Genomic DNA, 17,263 nt, shown 5'->3' with positions numbered 1-17,263 from the left:
TTGCACAATGTGAAAATAATCCACATACCCATAGATAGAAGAGTGGTTTAGTAAATTCTTATACATTTACCCAGTGGAGTACTATAAGACAATTTTTTAAATGAGGAAGATCTCTATGAACAAATCTGCAGTGATTGCCAGGATATATTTTAAATGAAAAAGGCAAAGTTCACGTAATCATCTAGAAACTGCTAATTTTTGCATAAGAAAGAATATGAGGTAAGAAAAATAGACATATATTTGTTCATCTGTGCAAACAGGAACACAGGAAGAATTTACCAGGGATTAATGAGATTTATTGTTTACAGGGGGCGGGCGGGAATGGGGTGGAAAGAACAAACAATGGGAAAGGGGAGAGTTGCCACTCCTCCGATTATAGTATTTTGTGTAGCTCTGACTTCACGAACAGTGTTGCCGTTTCATATACATAAAGGAAAAAAAAAAAACTACCAAGGATGGAGGAAAAATCATTAAAATAAAATACTGTCAGAACCATATAAATTTCACTACATTTCACATATACTGAAGGGAGGAGGGAAACCAGTATTCACCCAGGGAACTTTATATATATCTTTTTAAATTGAGATATGATTCACACAATATTCACCCTTTTAAAGTGCAGTTCAGTGGATCCTGTATATTCACAAGGTCGTATAATCAGCGCTATCCAATTCCAGAATACATTCATCTTTCTAAAAGTAAATGTCAGACTCATTAGCATGCACTCACTATTCTTCCCTCTCCCAGCTCCTAGCAATCACTGATGTATTTTCAGTCTCTATGGATTTACTTATTTTGGACATTGCATGTAAGTGGAACCATATTGTGTGTTTAGCTTCTTTGTTAGCATGATATTCTTAAGGCTCATCCATTCACGTTGTAGTCTGTATCAATACTTCATTCCTTTTTATGCCTGAATCCAGTCCACTGTATGCATAAACCACACTGTTCACTCATCATCAGATGATGGATATCTGGGTTCTTTTTTTTTAGCTATTATGCCACTATGAACATTCACATTCAAGTATTACATGTTTTCAATTCTCTTGGGCATGTATGGCTATGGGTGAAAATTATGGTTGACATGAGACTTTCATCATGCCTATGTTGGTACATCTGACAGTGTCCCACAGGTCTCTGAGAATCTGTTCATTCCTTTTTGGCTTTTCTTCGTAATTTCTATCTCATTATTGATTTTCTCTATTTGGTGAGACGTTGTTTACTTTGGTTCTTTGAACATATTTAAAATAGCGTTTTCAATGTCTTTTTTGAGTAAGTGTGAAGTCTGGGCTTCCTCAGGGAATTTCTATTGCTTTTTTCCCCATCAGTGCATGGACCATTCTTGCTTGTTTTTGTGCATGTCTCATAATTTTTTGGTGAAAATTGGACATTTTAAATAACATGTTACAACTCTGTATATCAGACTCCCTTTCCTCACCAGGTTTTGCTGTTGTTGCTATATTTTGCTGTTTACTGACCTTTCTGAACTATATATTTGTAAAGTCTATATTCTTTGTTGTGTATGAAATATCTGATTCATATGCTTAGTAGTGTGCTAATAATTGGACAGATTTCCTTAAATGCCTGGAATCAATACTTCTCTTTGTATTGGGGACTCTGTGTGTTGGGGCACACCTTTAATACTTAGCCACAAGTTAACAGCTTCTCCTTAGCCTTCACCTACTTATGCAGTGCCTCAAGGTCAGCCATTGGTGAGAGTTTAGGGCCTTCTCAGCTTTTTCCTGAGTATGCACACAGCTTTATGCATGTACATAATCTCCTTGATTCCAAAAAAATATGTCATAACTTATCAAAGTCCCTATCTTTTAGTTGTTCAACCTTTCTGAACTATTTATGTGTAAGGTCTATATTCTTGGTTGTGTATGGTCGTTGAAATCTCTGATTCATTAAACTTAGTAGTGTGGTTACTTTTGGTTAAAAAGAGTAATAGAAAAAAAGCAATAGAAATTCCCTGAGGAAGCCCAGACTTCAGACTTACTCAAAAAAGACATTAAAGACGCTATTTTAACTTACTTAGTTTTTGGTTAATTTACTGTTTACCCCAACTGTTACTCACTGCCTAAGGCAGTCTTGATGTTAAAAAAAAAAAAAAGCCTCTAATTGTTTTTGAAAAACAATCTCTGGGAAAAAGCTTATCTCATTGGGCAAGCTCTAACTCAGATGAAACAAATATAGCATTGCAAGTTAAGCCTTCCAGTTAACCATTGGTCAGGTCAAATAATGACAGTACTCAGGGAATGTGTCTGAAGAAACTCCAACCCTGTTCTGAACTCCCTCCAGTGGCTGCCAGGCTGCTGGTTTGCACTATGATCATGGGCTGTTGGTTTTCACAGCTACCATGAATCTGGGAAGCAGATTAGAATAAGGCAAGGTTTCACAAAGATCCCTGTTCTTATCAAGATTTAGATTCAAGATTCAGATATTTTTTCTTTAGTAAATACTTCTTGGATTGCTGCAAGCCTTTGGTTAATTCTAGAGTTCTGAAAGGTTGATTCTGATAGTTTGGACAGTTTTCTTATTGCTTTCACAGAGAGAAACATTTTTTGGATGTTCTTACTCTGCCATTTTAGCTGTTATTACCCCAGGTAACTTTTAAAGAGCTCTAAACAAATATTGAACTCTTTGGCTAGTAGGCTTCTGTTTTGCAGAGCTATCACTTAGCAATTCTGAAACTAGCTTGTGTATGTATTCTAAGGTTGAACTTTCAAATATGTAAATATATCCTCGATAATGGTAATCAATTTTCTCACTATTAAAGAACTTACATGTTAAAAGGACATAGGAGACAGCTTGGGGAGGCTCCCACTAGCCAAATTAAGTAGAATTTGAGCACTAAAATAATGAAGGACTTAATTTAAAAATCCATGGACTGGATTTGCCCTTCTATATTAAACAACTAGGAAATTGCACAAAATACACCAAACAACAGTTTTCAGACAATGGAGAACAGGTGGCAAAGGATAACCGTAACTGACAGAAGAAAAACAAACGAGTTTGAGTGCTACAAGTATACCAGCTCACTGCCTGAAGTTTCCAAACCATAGTGCAGACAGAAGAACCCCAAAAGAGCTCAGTGGCCTTACTGAAATTAGAGACAGACTTCAGAGTTCAGAAAAGTCAACGTGATTAGAATTTGTGAGGCAAAATACTAGAGGAAGGAAATACACAGAAAAAGTGCTCCAAAGCTCTGTAGAAGGGTTCTTTCAAGTCTTTAGTGGAAGATCAACCTGCATGAGGTGTATAAAGAATATAACTAAGACCAGGAAAAAAACTAAACACTAGAAAGGAGTAAGTGGAACTATGCCTTCCACAAGCCCAGGTATAGTTTGTGTTCTGACCAGCCATTGCAGAAAGATTTCCTGATAGACACAGTATCAGGTAGAGTTCCTAAAATGGTAATGCCTCGTAGTGGAGTCAGATGAACCCTAGACCAGGGTTTCTCAACCTTAGCACTGTTAACATTTTGGGCTATAAAATTCTTTTTTGTGTGTGTATATATTACACACAGCTTAGCAGCATCCCAGGCCTATATCTGCTAGATGTAGCCCCCTCCCACCCCCAACCCTTGACTATGCAAAATATCTCCAGATGATGTTGCCAAATGTTCCCTGGGGGGAAAATCACTCCAAGTCGAGAACCAATGCCCTAGACTAATGGCTCTTGTAGACCCATTCTAACAAAGCACAAACCTCAAAATGACCATCTGATTCTAAGTAACTTCACTGCATCCCAGAAAAAGTCCAACAGTACTTGTAACAAAATCTAATAGCTAACAGCTAACAAATTTAAAACTCTTCCCTCTTAACTTTTTACTTGGACCGTAACTCCTTCCAGTTGAGGTAAAAAGTCTTGGACAGACTCAGCAGTGTGGAGGATAGTGACCCCAACTTCACAGTCTGGCAAACTCTGGGTAGGTACAGAGACATTTTCCTTTTACTTTTTTGTCAGTCTGAAATTATATCAAAATAAAATTTAAAAGAAAGAAGTACAAAAACAATGTATGCATCTGACACAGCAAAAATAATTTTCTCTCTGCATAATCCCTTGAATTCCATTATTCTATTTATCAAATTTTTTTTTTTTTTTGAGACAGTCATACTCTGTCACCCAGGCTGGAGTGCAGTGGTGCAATCTTGGCTCACTGCAACCTCCACCTCCCAGGTTCAAGCAATTCTTATGCCTCAGCCTTCTGAGTAGCTGGAATTACAGATGCCGGCCACCACGCCTGGATAATTTTCTGTATTTTTAGTAGAGACAGGGTTTCACCATGTTGCCCAGGCTGGTTTTGAACTCCTTGCCTCTAGCGATCTACCCGCCTCAGCCTCCCAAAGTGCTGGGATTATAGGCATGAGTCACCACGCCCGGCTGAGTTATCTAAATTCTTAAGCTCCTGAAATAAGTAGAAACTCTTGAGAGTTTGTGAATACAGGTTAACCAGATGGCCTTCCCTGCCATTAAAGGAACTAATGTGCAGGAAACATGGATTAGCATTATTCAGTTTACCAAGAACTTCAAAATTTTTCCCAGCATAGCAAAAGTGAAACATTTGAAGGGATTTAAAAATTTCTGTTTTCCTTTTAAATAGCAGTACTGTGATGTATAAAGCAGTCCCTTCCTCAGTGAGTCATCTTACAACTTCTTTGCTTAGCCATCAGTGGAAATATTCTTTTAATCCTACCACCTTCAGAATTTGTTCTTAAAAATTAGAATCTATGATTCCTCAAAAATTTTAAAATAAGTATAGTAAAAACTAGATAATATACATTCTTGATTTAATGGAAATATTTATATGCAGTGAAACATAAAACAAATTATTGGTTGTATTGCTATATTTAAACAATTTTCTTAACTAAAATATAATTAAGAATCCCAAAATTGTCCTAGACAACTATTTTAGAATCAAAAAGTACATGATCACAAGTACTTAAAACTATAATAAAATTAATATTTATCTGTACATCCATAATAAAAGTTACTATTTTAGTTTGCTAACAAGAATGATTTTTAACAAGGGTGATCTGGTTTAAATAGCTGATTTCCTATGTTTCCATTATTATTTTAAATATATATTGACATTTATGTTTAAGGAAACAACAGAGCTGAACCAGTGAAGCACATTTCATGATAAGCACTAAAGAGAAAATATGAGATCACTAAAATCCCCAAATTACTTCATAAGGGAAACAGTCTGAGGGATATTATTAAAAATCAATTTAAGTACATATTGGATTTGTGAAAGGCTTATATAAGCGTAAGTTGAATTTACTTTAAAAAAAAATACAAAAACAAACATTCTATAATTCTCCCCAAGAGACTTATTCAAATACGAGTTTAAGTAATAGCTGCAGAGCCTGGGGTGAGAAAGCTGGGCATGGTAGTGCATGCACCTGCAGTCCCAGCCCTTTGGGAGGCAGAGGTGGGAGGATCACTTGAGCCCAGGAGTTTGAGGCTGCAGTGAGCTGTGATTGCAATATTGTACTCTAGTCTGGGCAACAGAATGAGATCCTGTCTTAAAAAAAACATTTTTTTTTTTAGATGGAAAAGTTTGCAGAAAGAGGCACTAATCAATCATCAAACGTAATTTTTTTCCCCTGAAACACAGCAATATTAGATTGCTGTTCTTTTCGCCTTCTGCTTGCTTCCCATGAAGGATGAAGAGGCAGCTGCAATTGCTGTTTTGTATTTTCAAGTCTTCCTGATAGCTTCTTATTAAACTGATTCTTGATCTGAGGCTCATTCTGTGGAAAATCTAGGAAGAGAAAGCAAAAATAATAATAACTATATACTTAAAGAGCATATAGGAGAAGTAAATTTCATCTTTTTCAAACCAATGTTAAAAAAAGAAATTTTGTTTTCTTAAATGGAATATTTCACAATTTAAAACTGAAGTCTAACAGGGAATAGTTTGAAGTTGAAAATTTATATACAAGTAGTCAATTTTGACACACATGCTTTCTAACACTTATAAGTAGATGTTTATTGAGTGCCTCTTAATTTATGCTGTGCTGTCTTATTTATAACAACATAAAGAAAGGAATCACTCTGTTGTACTAGCATGGAAGGCAAAAAAGAAGGGCATCATGTATTTTCAAAGGAACATCATTAGCTTATGATATCTGTGTACATGAAGCAGATGTAGCCAGAAAATTCACATCTTAGCTAAGACACTCCACTGAGTCTGACAATACTGATAGTGCTTACTCATTTTTAAAGGCTATAAGTTGATTCCACTCCCGTCTGTTATTGAACCAAAAGTGGTTATTACAAGGCAAATAGTACTAAGTCTACTCAAGAATATAAGACAAAGTTCTTTTTTAGTTGTAACATTAATCTCCAGATATGAAGGTGGCAACTTGTATTCTAGTCCATATAGTATCTTAACATTTTACATGATTTTGAACCAAGTCTTATTTGGCGAAGATACACTAGTATGAAAAGATATGCATCAATGCACATTTTAGTTGCTTACAGAACTTAGGAGATGGAATCAGAAAGAAAAAGAGAGACAAAAAAACTTAATATAGACTTCTTAATCAGTCCTATGACTATGTAATTTCTCCATTGCAAGTTAGGAATCATTGTCAAAAGACTTCTTTTTTTTAAGACGGAGTCTTGCTCTGTTGCCCAGGATGGAGAGCAGTGGCGTGATCTTGGCTCACTGCAACCTCCACCTCCCAGGTTCAAGCAATTCTCCTGCCTCAGCCTCCTAAGTAGCTGGGATTACAGGCATGTGCCACTATGCCTGGCTAATTTATGTATTTTTAGTAGAGACATATTGGTCAGGCTGATCTCGAACTCCTGACCTCAGACGATCCACCCACCTCAGCCTCCCAAAGTGCTGGGATTACAGGCATGAGCCACCGTGCTCGGCCTGTCAGAAGCCTTTTAAAGACCTCTTTAAGAAAACAAATGTAAAAATGTTATATAAACCAGTGCACTGTTTGGGATAATATTTACAAAACATTATCTAGACAGAAATCAAAACAACCCTTATCTTACACAAATCACATGTGCTCTAGAAATCTGTTACAATATTCAAAGAGTGGCTGTAGAGATGAAAAGTTTAAAAAAAACTGTAGAGGATGTGGAGAAATAGGAACACTTTTACACTGTTGGTGGGACTGTAAACTAGTTCAACCATTGTGGAAGTCAGTGTGGCGATTCCTCAGGGATCTAGAACTAGAAATACCATTTGACCCAGCCATCCTATTATTGGGTATATACCCAAAGGATTATAAATCATGCTACTATAAAGACACATGCACACGTATGTTTATTGCGGCACTATTCACAATAGCAAAGACTTGGAACCAACCCAAATGTCCAACAATGATAGACTGGATTAAGAAAATGTGGCACATATACACCATGGAATACTATGCAGCCATAAAAACTGATGAGTTCATGTCCTTTGTAGGGACATGGATGAAACTGGAAACCATCATTCTCAGCAAACCATCGCAAGGACAAAAAACCAAACACCGCATGTCCTCACTCATAGGTGGGAATTGAACAATGAGAACACATGGACACAGGAAGGGGAACATCACACACCGGGGACTGTTGTGGGGTGGGGGGAGTGGGGAGGGATAGCATTAGGAGATATACCTAATGGTAAATGACGAGTTAATGGGTGCAGCACACCAACATGGCACATGTATACATATGTAACAAATCTGCACGTTGTGCACATGTACTCTAAAACTTAAAGTGTAATAATAATAAAAATAAAAAAAACAAAACAAAACAAAACAAAAACCTGTTTCATAAAAACTGAGATTTGAATAAGGTAGTATTTCTAAATGAATGTATTATTTTATATATTACATAGAGTTGTATATGTAAATAAACTAGTAAATATTTTAAGCATACAAGCTAAGCACAAAAAACCCTTTATTTGGATAGTCTCATTGTGAAAATGTAGGTATGTCTTATATTTACAGTTATCCTGTGTTTGTGAATATATGGTATAAATGGGGCATACTGACATGTTTCTGCCAAATCCTGTATTATCTTCCTTTTAGGCATACAATCAGAATATAGTTTCCATTCCTGCTGCAGTTAGGTGAGGTCACATGGCTAATTGAGTTATGGCCAATAAAATGTGAGTAAAAGGCCTGGACCATAAAAACCTCACATTCAATCTTCCATTACTTTTCTATCGCTGATGAATGAAGAGAACTCCTAGGATCCAGAGGAGGCAAGAGGCACAAGACAGAATAAAATTCCTAGAAGCAGACAGACTGATAGATGACAAACCACTGAGATTTAGCAGGTAGTCTACTATGAATAATACTAAAATTGGTACTCTGAAGTACCATTACAATAACATAAAAATTTGGCATTGGCTTAGCAGTTCAGTGGTGGGTAGCAAGGAAACAGATAACTGAGAATGAGAAGTAAGCAACCCATGTGCCAAAGAAATAGGTAAAACTGTTGTCAGTGATAACTTGGCAAGCAGGCCACAAGCCTATGGAGTTTGCTGTACAAAGGTAACTGGCTGGAAAGAATAAAAAGATCAGCGTATTACTGGCTGTCCTTGACAATGCACTACACAAAAGAGAACAGAGAGAACAAAAGAATCTAGATATTTGGGAACTTAAGGTTTAGAAAAGCCTTTGACTCCCAAACAGTAACCTGTAAGTCTAAGAAAAGTTGCCCACAGCAACTCAGCCCTAGAGCAGAGATAAGACTAAATGTATGGCACTCCCATCCAAATCTGATTAATTTTCAATGCAGTAGATGCTGAATGAGAGCGGGAAGTGGGAAAAATAAAACAAAACACAAACAAATAAGACAAGTTTGAGAACTAGCTCAAAGAAAGAATTTTCAGTACGGTAACTAGCCCACAGACGGACTGAAGGAAACAGAGGTCAGAAATCCACTGAGTTTTTGAGGAGGTGTATAGTGAAAGAAATCACAAGCCTGGGATGGAAAAAACCTCTGCTGAACTTTGTACAATCTTCATCATTTTATATTTGTACCAGTGACTTGGGGCAAACTCCAAAGAGATCATGTTAAATACCCACCTCAGATGTGGCCACGAAACAAAGACCCTCCCTAGACACGGACCATGAAGAACAATGGATAAAGAAGTTCCTCTCAGAGCCTTCATAATCTTTGCTCAGCAGAATTTCAGATAGTAGACCTGTTGTGTGCCTTCCATTTTTTCCTTAAGCTATCAAGAGTTTTTATTGTCATTACTTTGTCCCTGTTCTGCTACTCGATACATGGTATATCATGGTATGAATTTCTTTTTGGTACAAAGGTCACCAGACTTTGAAGAATCTCATCCATGAGATTTGATGGAAAATACTCCATGACCAGTGATCCTGGACTTTGAGCTAGATGCAGTGACTGGATGTGACTTTGGGTTGGCTGCCTTGGGAAGGAGGTAAGTGTGCTCTGTGTAGGAGGAAAAGTGAAATGGCCATCCAGTGATAGAAAGTCTGGTCACTGGAAGAAAAAGTTATGTGTTCACGAAATTCCACTTCCTCTTTTCTCCTAGATATATAGTAAGACTGCATTTCTTAGCTCCCCTGTGGCTAGATGGGGTCATGTGACTGAATTCTGGCTAATGATATGTGAGTAGAACTGGTTTCTGCTACTTTCAGGCCTTGCTCACAAACACCTGCAAAATTCTCCATGTACTCCATTCCCTTCTATTGGCAAATGGAGAATATTTGGAACCTGGAGGAGGAAAACGCCAAAAGATGGAAGAAGCCTGATCCTTGAATGACTATGTGGAACACAGCCTCTCTGCTAATTCATCACAGTGGACTGTGATGTGAATGAGAAATGAATTTTTGCTATGTTAAGTTAGTGAAAGTCTAGGATTGTGTGAGAAGTCACTCTACCCAAATACATGAAACTTAGATTTGTTACGAATTAATCTGAAAATATTCTGATTATACTCTTGCCCAAGAAAGTAATATACTTGTTATTCAATGTTTAACGGCATGGCATTAGCGTTTAGGATCACTAATAATTAAGATATAACTTGCATAATTTACTTAAAAAAAGTGTTGGTTTAATTTGAGATAAGTTAAATAGACATAATATTTCCTGATAAATTTTGTCTATATCTTTCCCTCTGGCAGGACACAGAAGAAAAGAAAACCAACAACAAAAAATTATATTGATAATTGTAAGATGCTCTGTTAACATTTCTGTGGGTACATAATTCATTCAGGCTATATTAAGCAACAACAATTTCTCATTCTTTTACTCTGGTAAAACATAGCTTAATTGCATATGAAGGTCAGGCAACTATGAATACATACCTAGGGATCTTGTTTTTGGAGCCTGTTCTTTGAAATTTCTAAAAGAAGAAAAACACCATTATGACTTTTTAAAGATAAATCCTCTGATCTTAAGAAAAAAACATAACAAAATTGATGATAAAACTAATTCAAAGGGCCACTATACTCCTTAGTCACACCAGCAAACAATAAAATAATTATGAAAGTCCCAGGTTGTAGCTGTATCAAACAAAGGTTTGTTAGAATCCAGTGTTACTACAGACACATGAGGACCTATTTCCCTCACCACCTTTAAAGAGAATTCTGTTTGTAATGGGAAATATCTTGTCTTGGTTACCTTGCCTTTACACTTCGGGATTATCTATATAAAGAATTTCTAAAGTCTTTTCACAGGAAGAATGACTCTCATATAACAAAAATTAAGATTTACATTTTGGCGGGGCACGGTGGGTCACGCCTGTAATCCCAGCACTTTGGGAGGCTGAGCAGGGTGGATCACAAGGTCAGGAGTTCGACACTAACCGGGCCAATATGGTGAAACCCGTCTCTACTAGAAAACAAAACAAAACAAAAAAAAAACAAAAATTAGCCGGGCGTGGTGGCATGCGCCTATAATCCCAGCTACTCAGGAGGCTGAGGCAGGAGAATTGCTTGAACCTGGGAGGCAGAGGTTACAGTGAGCCAAGATCACACCACTGCACTCCAGCCTGGGTGATAGAGTGAGACTCCGTCTCAAAAAAAAAAAAAAAAAAAAAAAAAAGATTTATATTTTGTGGTAAAGGGATAGTGGTGTGCCATTTTCAAATGTGGAAAAAAGTGCAGCTTTTTGAGGCAAGTTTGGAAAATATAAGTAAATATTTTAATTATTTCAACACTCCACACGTTTTTATGTCTTTGCCATACTGTGACATTTTTGAAAAATTTTTACATCACATTTTTCTATTTCATTAAAGACTATCCCTGACTTGTAAATATATGCAAAAACAGTTTATAGCTGTTACTGAAGAAATTAGCTAACCATAACCTTCACTCTAAAATGTGAAGATACCCTTTATCAAATTGGAATTACAAATAAAGTTAAACTTACTGTTTTATAACAGAACAGCTATGAAAAGTGGTGAGCAACAGAGATGGAGACAGCAACATCATCAAATAAAAAGCAGTATGGAGAAACTCAGTTTAAGGGCAAGCAGCCTTATATACTGAAATGGTACTAGACAGTAAAATGACTGATGTTTACAATAATGGTCCTGGATCATCAAGAAAAAACACCATATTCTTTTCAGAAAGTTCTGTTTAGAAAGATACATGAAACATTTTCAAAAGTTTTTCATCAAAAAAGATTTCAAAGTTTCAAAACTTTGATAAGTGAAGGAATAAAATTTAAATTAGCTGGCATATTATTTGGCTATAACATCTCATTTTCTGATGAAACTAGGCAAATGTGGCATTGCCATATGTGTATCTGTACCTAATACCCCACTACAACCTTGGAGAGGGCCATGTCTAAAAACAGGATGGGTTGTACAAACTAGAATTATAGTCTCTTCATGTATGGACAAGTAGACATTTATAGCTTTTTAAAAAAGAACTAATGATTATTTCAGAATAGAAAAAGAATCTTACCTTCTAGAGCTTTTAGATCCAGATAAAGAGTGGAAAAACACTGATTCTAACTTTCTGGTTTCTGTACTTGGCTTGATTTTGTCATTTCTTGTATCCCCATGAGTTTCACCTGTATCTTCTTTAAGAAACACTTTTTCTAGTGGTTTTTGTTCCTTAACTGAAGAATGACAACTACTTTCCTTCTTTCGTGTCCGTCTGACTTTCCCAATGAAGAAGTCGTCACCGCTATCACTATCTTCAGACATGGAAGACTGCTTGTAAAACCTTTCTTCTGTGCTATCATCAAAATATTCCTTCTCCTCTTCACAAAATTCTTCTCCGCCATCACTGTTACCAGAGAGTGAGCTATCAGATCCTTTGTTTTTTTTGGTTTGACTTAGAGTTTTCAGTTTTGGGTCAGCAGGTGTCTTCTGGGACTCAAGGGAAACTACAGAATCCTTTTCTGAAGGCTTTGATGGAGAATTTGCAATAGTCACTGCTTTAGGTCCATGTTCCATCTTTGCTATTTTTTCCTTTGAATTATGTATTGGTTTCTTCGCCAATATTTTGGTTTCTTTGACTTTTTGCTCACTGATGACAGTTGCTTCACGCTGTAAATTACTTCCATTATCATTTGAATACAAAGTATTCTCAGAATGATTGTCCTCTGAAGCATTCTTTGATGACTCAACTTCAGCAACATTTTGTCTTGCTTCTTTAAAGGCTTGTACAGCAGCTGCAAGAGAAACAGTGCATCACTCATTTTAGCACTGAAACATATAAAACATGACTGTTTTAGGACAGTATTTTAAAAAATTATTTGAAAAGATTTAAGAGGGCAGTTGGAATTGATATTAAATACATATACTCGGTCTGAATTCACAAAGAAATCTTTCGACTTCTTAAAAACCAAACATAAGATATGCTCAGACGTATTCATTTTAAATTGTGAAAATGAAAAGAAAATGTTTTCTTCATGTCTTGGAGTTATGAAGAACAGTAAAAACATCACAGAATACAAATAAAAGGGAATGGCAACTTTAATTTATATAATAATAATGCATTATTATAAACTGTGCTTTCAGACATAAAATTCAGTATCATGTGACAAAAAAATTTCATTTTATAGATATATTTTATAATAAACATATATAAAATTATGTTCCTAAGTGGCGAAACCAAAACTAATGAGTTATGTCAATATTTTAAAAAAACTATTCAACTTTATCTTGTATATATTATATATAAAAAGATATATATTACGTATTATACGTTCACATATTAGAATTTACTAAACAATACAGATTTGGTTTTTCTTCAGAGATCACACTTTCTGTATTTTCAGACACCTTCCACACTGGTAAATATTTGAAAGAAACTTATATTTATAATAGAACCTCAAGAGTTAAAATAAGTGAATAGCCATTATCCAAAGTCTACAAATACATTAAGTACATGGCTTAAAAGTCATTTAATTCATACCTTTTAGCACATCTATCTTTTTCTTCAGAAGAGGATGTACTGCTAGTCTGGCAATTGCTCTTTCAGTTGCAGTAGAATCTGGCTGCAAATTTAAAAATATAATAAACGTATGGGAATGAAATAAAAATGACACTATTGAAAGTGAATAAAATAAAATCTATCATAGTCTTTAAAATTAGAGTTGGAGAATAGAACTAGTTAATATTCTCCTTAGATAAGATATCTGTATAATCAATCCATGCTAAAGACAAAGATCATCCTGACAAAAATATTACTGCCTTTGAACAACTAAAATTATCACTTAATCATTAATAAATATTCTTTGGATACGATACTTAATATTCTCAGAATTGTGATAAGCACCATGTGTAACATCAAAAAAAGAACATAGTTTTTACTATCAAAGAGCTTGAACAATCTAATTAAGAAGACTAAATTAATATCAAAGAATCAAATAACATATTAGTGCTAAACTGGGTGAGACTACTGTAATACTTGAAGTTCCATTTAACAGAGACCTAGAAATTATCTAACGCTCTATATTTCTATTTTAAATGTCTACTATCACTGACACGTTCTCAGGGCCTAGACTGAATGGGAACATTATATACAGTATTCAATATATTTATAAATTTGGAAAAATCATAATGCCGGCTAATGACTTGAAATGCCGTATGAAGGCTGACAACATCTAAATTTCGACCTCCAGCTCCAACCTGAGCTCTAAGCTGATACATCAAACCACCTAACCTGACATCTATTTGACATTGTCAAAACAGAATTCTTTGATTTTTCCTCACAAATCTGCTTCTCCTGTAGCTTTTCCATCTTATTGTATGTAATTTCCATTGTTCTGGTTGCTCAGGCCTAAAACTCTAAGGATTCTTTCCCACTATTTGTCTTTCCCTCAAAACTCACAATACACCCTGTGGTTCCAAATGTAAAATATATCCAGAACCAGTCGCTTCTCACCATTTCTATTCTTACTACCTTTGACTAAATCACCAACACCTCTCACCTGGACCAACATAATTAAACTTATGCCTGGTCACTCTCCTTTGCAACTTGCTCTCTCAACAGTCAATTTTCCACACAACAGCCACGGTGATTTTTAAAAATGTAATCAAATCATGCTATTTCCATATCTGTTCTTCTTTAAGCTTTATTGCTTTCTGATGCTTAGCCCATACCATTGCAATCTCTTCTTTACCTGGAATACTCTACTCCCAAATATATACACGGCTGATCATCTCACTGTATTCAGGTCTCTGCTTAAATGTCATCTCAACTAGCACAACACTTCCCATCACTATTTACTTCACATCACTTACCACTGCATGGCAGTGTAGATGTTTTCATATCTGCAAAGCAGAGACTTTGTTTGCCTCATTGCTGTAGATTCAGTGCCTAGAATAGTGACTGGTAATAATAGTAGGCACCCAATACACATTTAATAAAGCAAGTGAATAAATTTCACTAGTGTGTGAAAGTAAAACAACCAGTTTCAAATGTCTTTATCCTAAATTTACCCTTCATTGTGAACAGTCAAATATAAGACATTTCCAACCCAGTATTATAAATGTACGAATACCAAAATAAAAACAAGATGATGGCAGTATGCAAGCTATTCTGTTTGTAGGATTTATGTGAGTAATGTCACTCAAAGAATAATCTATTTAAATTACACCTGGTGCAAATCCTGTGCCAGGACCATCTGCTATTTAATTACCTTGTGTACTAGGTTGAATCGCGTCCCCTCAAAATTCACATCCACCTGGAAACTCAGAATGTGAACTTATTTGGAAACAAAGTCTTTGCAGATTAAATTATGTGGAATCACAGTGGATCAGGGTGGTCTTAAGCCCAGTAAGACTGGTTTCCTTATAAGGAGAAGAATATTTTGATATAGGGGCACAGAGAGACACAGTAAAGACTACGTGAACACTAAGGGCAAAGATTGGAGTTATCCTGGCATCAGCCACCAGTAGCTCAAAGACACAGGAAAGTTTCCCCTCTGGAGCTTCCAGAGAAAGTGTGGCCTCACTGACACCTTAATTTCAAGCTTTCACCCTCCTCAACTGTGAGAAAATAAATTTACTTTTTTGTTGTTGTTGTTGGGAGTCTCACTCTGTCACCCAGGCTGGAGTTGCAGTAGCGTGATCTTGGCTTACTGCAACCTCCGCCTCCCGGGTTCAAGCGATTCTCCTGTCTCAGCCTCCCGAGTAGCTGGGACTACAGGCACCCGCCACCACGCTCAGCTGATTTTTGTATTTTTAGTAGAGATGGGGTTTCACCACGTTGGCCAGGCTGGTGTCGAACTCCTGACCTTGTGATCCACCTGCCTCGGCCTCCCAAAGTGCTGGGATTACAGGTGTGAGCCACCGCGCCTGGCCAATTTACATAGTTTTAAACCACTCAATTTGTGATACTTTGTTATGGCAGCCTTAGGAAACTGATACGCATCTATTCTGACTATTAGACACAGCTTCTGTTCAACCTTTTCCAAGAAATGTCGTCTACTCATGGACCATTCATTTAAGTACAGCGCAAAGTGAACCTGTTTCTTCAACCTGCTGCTGAGTTTCCTGATACAATAGAGGAAAGATAGAAAAAAGATAATTTAGGAAGGAAGGTTATTGCTAGTATCCTGAGTCACTTAGTGACAAGCTGAGCTGCTGAAGGCATAGGTCAAACATGCTTGCTTGAGTATTAAAAGCTAGAATATAGAAACTCCAATGAAAAACATGATTTTTCAGGCTAAGAAGACTGAAAACAATATATGAAAATAGTCACATTAGTATATTGGGACCTACAAGATTTCAGATAATAAAACAAGTCACCAAATAATAAACTAAAAAGAAAAGACGCACAGATCACAATGGTTTCAGACTTTAATTCTGGAAGTCAAACTATAGAGCAGCTAATGCTTCTAAAATTATGAAGGAAAAGAATTTCCAACCTAGGGAAGAAGAAAAATACTTCCACACATGCAGTTTATTCAAAAAAATTTACATCCTTGTACATTTCTGTCCAAGAAGCTACTGGCTCCCCTAAAATGAGGAAGGATACAAATAATAAGAATGGCATAGGAGACAAGAAACAGAAGACTTAGGCAGAAGGAACTTCCCAGGATGATGGTGACAGGAGACTTAGGTTTGGGATACTTGGTGTGCTGAATATCTGGAGAGGACATATCAATAGCAGATGGAGAGTTTGGTGTTACACTACAGATAAGACAGAAAACTAACAAAATAAACCTATCACAAACTGTAGAAAACAGAAATATTATGCAGAAAAGTAGTAATAACTCAGTACATGACTCACAGTCACAATAACATAATCAATAAATGTTCACCTAATCTGATTCAAGTATATAAGGAGGATGAAGGGGGGATATCAGGAGATAAGTATATGAGGAGGATGGAGGGGATATATGACTTAGAGCCTGAAGGAGAAAAGAGATCTAAATCTTTACCTACCACAACATAAAGTTAATAGCTAGTGCTTAAAATAAAAAAGCTAATACAGTACATAAACATCTTACTGTAGGGGTAAACTCTATGCGAACTAACTGCAATTGAAGCAGGAAAGGAATAATAGAGTACTGCCACTTTTATAAAAAAATTCTTGTAGAAGTATTTGATTTTCAAAACCAGGAATTGGCAAACTGGCCCATGGGGGCTGTTCCAGCCTGCCGCTGGAACTTTCTTTTATTTAATAAAGTTTTATGGAACAAAGCCAAAGTCATTCATTTATATATTGCCTATGTCTGCACTCACGACACAATGGTAAAGCGAAGTAGTTGTGACAGAAGCTGTGTGTCTTACAAAGGCATTCATTTCAGGTCCTTTACAGAAAAAGCGTGATGCCTGCTCTAAATTACATGCAAGTAG

At 36.2% G+C, this 17,263-nt stretch overlaps 1 protein-coding gene across 2 annotated transcripts in view; it reads right to left on the bottom strand.

Annotated features, from left to right (window-relative positions):
- The window catches only part of SRFBP1 (serum response factor binding protein 1), a 116,961-nt gene that overhangs the window by 46,224 nt on the left and 53,474 nt on the right, over nucleotides 1-17,263 (bottom strand). The window contains exons 5-8 of one of the 2 annotated variants that reach the window (NM_152546.3): nucleotides 13,371-13,452; nucleotides 11,910-12,624; nucleotides 10,305-10,342; nucleotides 4,079-5,770 (exon numbers count right to left, since the gene is read on the bottom strand). In NM_152546.3, the coding sequence (NP_689759.2) occupies nucleotides 5,586-5,770; nucleotides 10,305-10,342; nucleotides 11,910-12,624; nucleotides 13,371-13,452 (1,020 nt within the window). In that variant the 3' untranslated portion in view covers nucleotides 4,079-5,585. Of the gene's footprint in view, nucleotides 1-4,078; nucleotides 5,771-10,304; nucleotides 10,343-11,909; nucleotides 12,625-13,370; nucleotides 13,453-17,263 lie in introns of those variants that run through there. The other variant, XM_017009111.3, reaches the window with a different exon arrangement.

Source organism: Homo sapiens, chromosome 5, assembly GCF_000001405.40.
Source record: "Homo sapiens chromosome 5, GRCh38.p14 Primary Assembly".
Classification (NCBI taxonomy): domain Eukaryota; kingdom Metazoa; phylum Chordata; class Mammalia; order Primates; family Hominidae; genus Homo; species Homo sapiens.
Note: the sequence above shows the minus strand (reverse complement) of the source record. Positions and strands in the feature narration are given on the sequence as shown.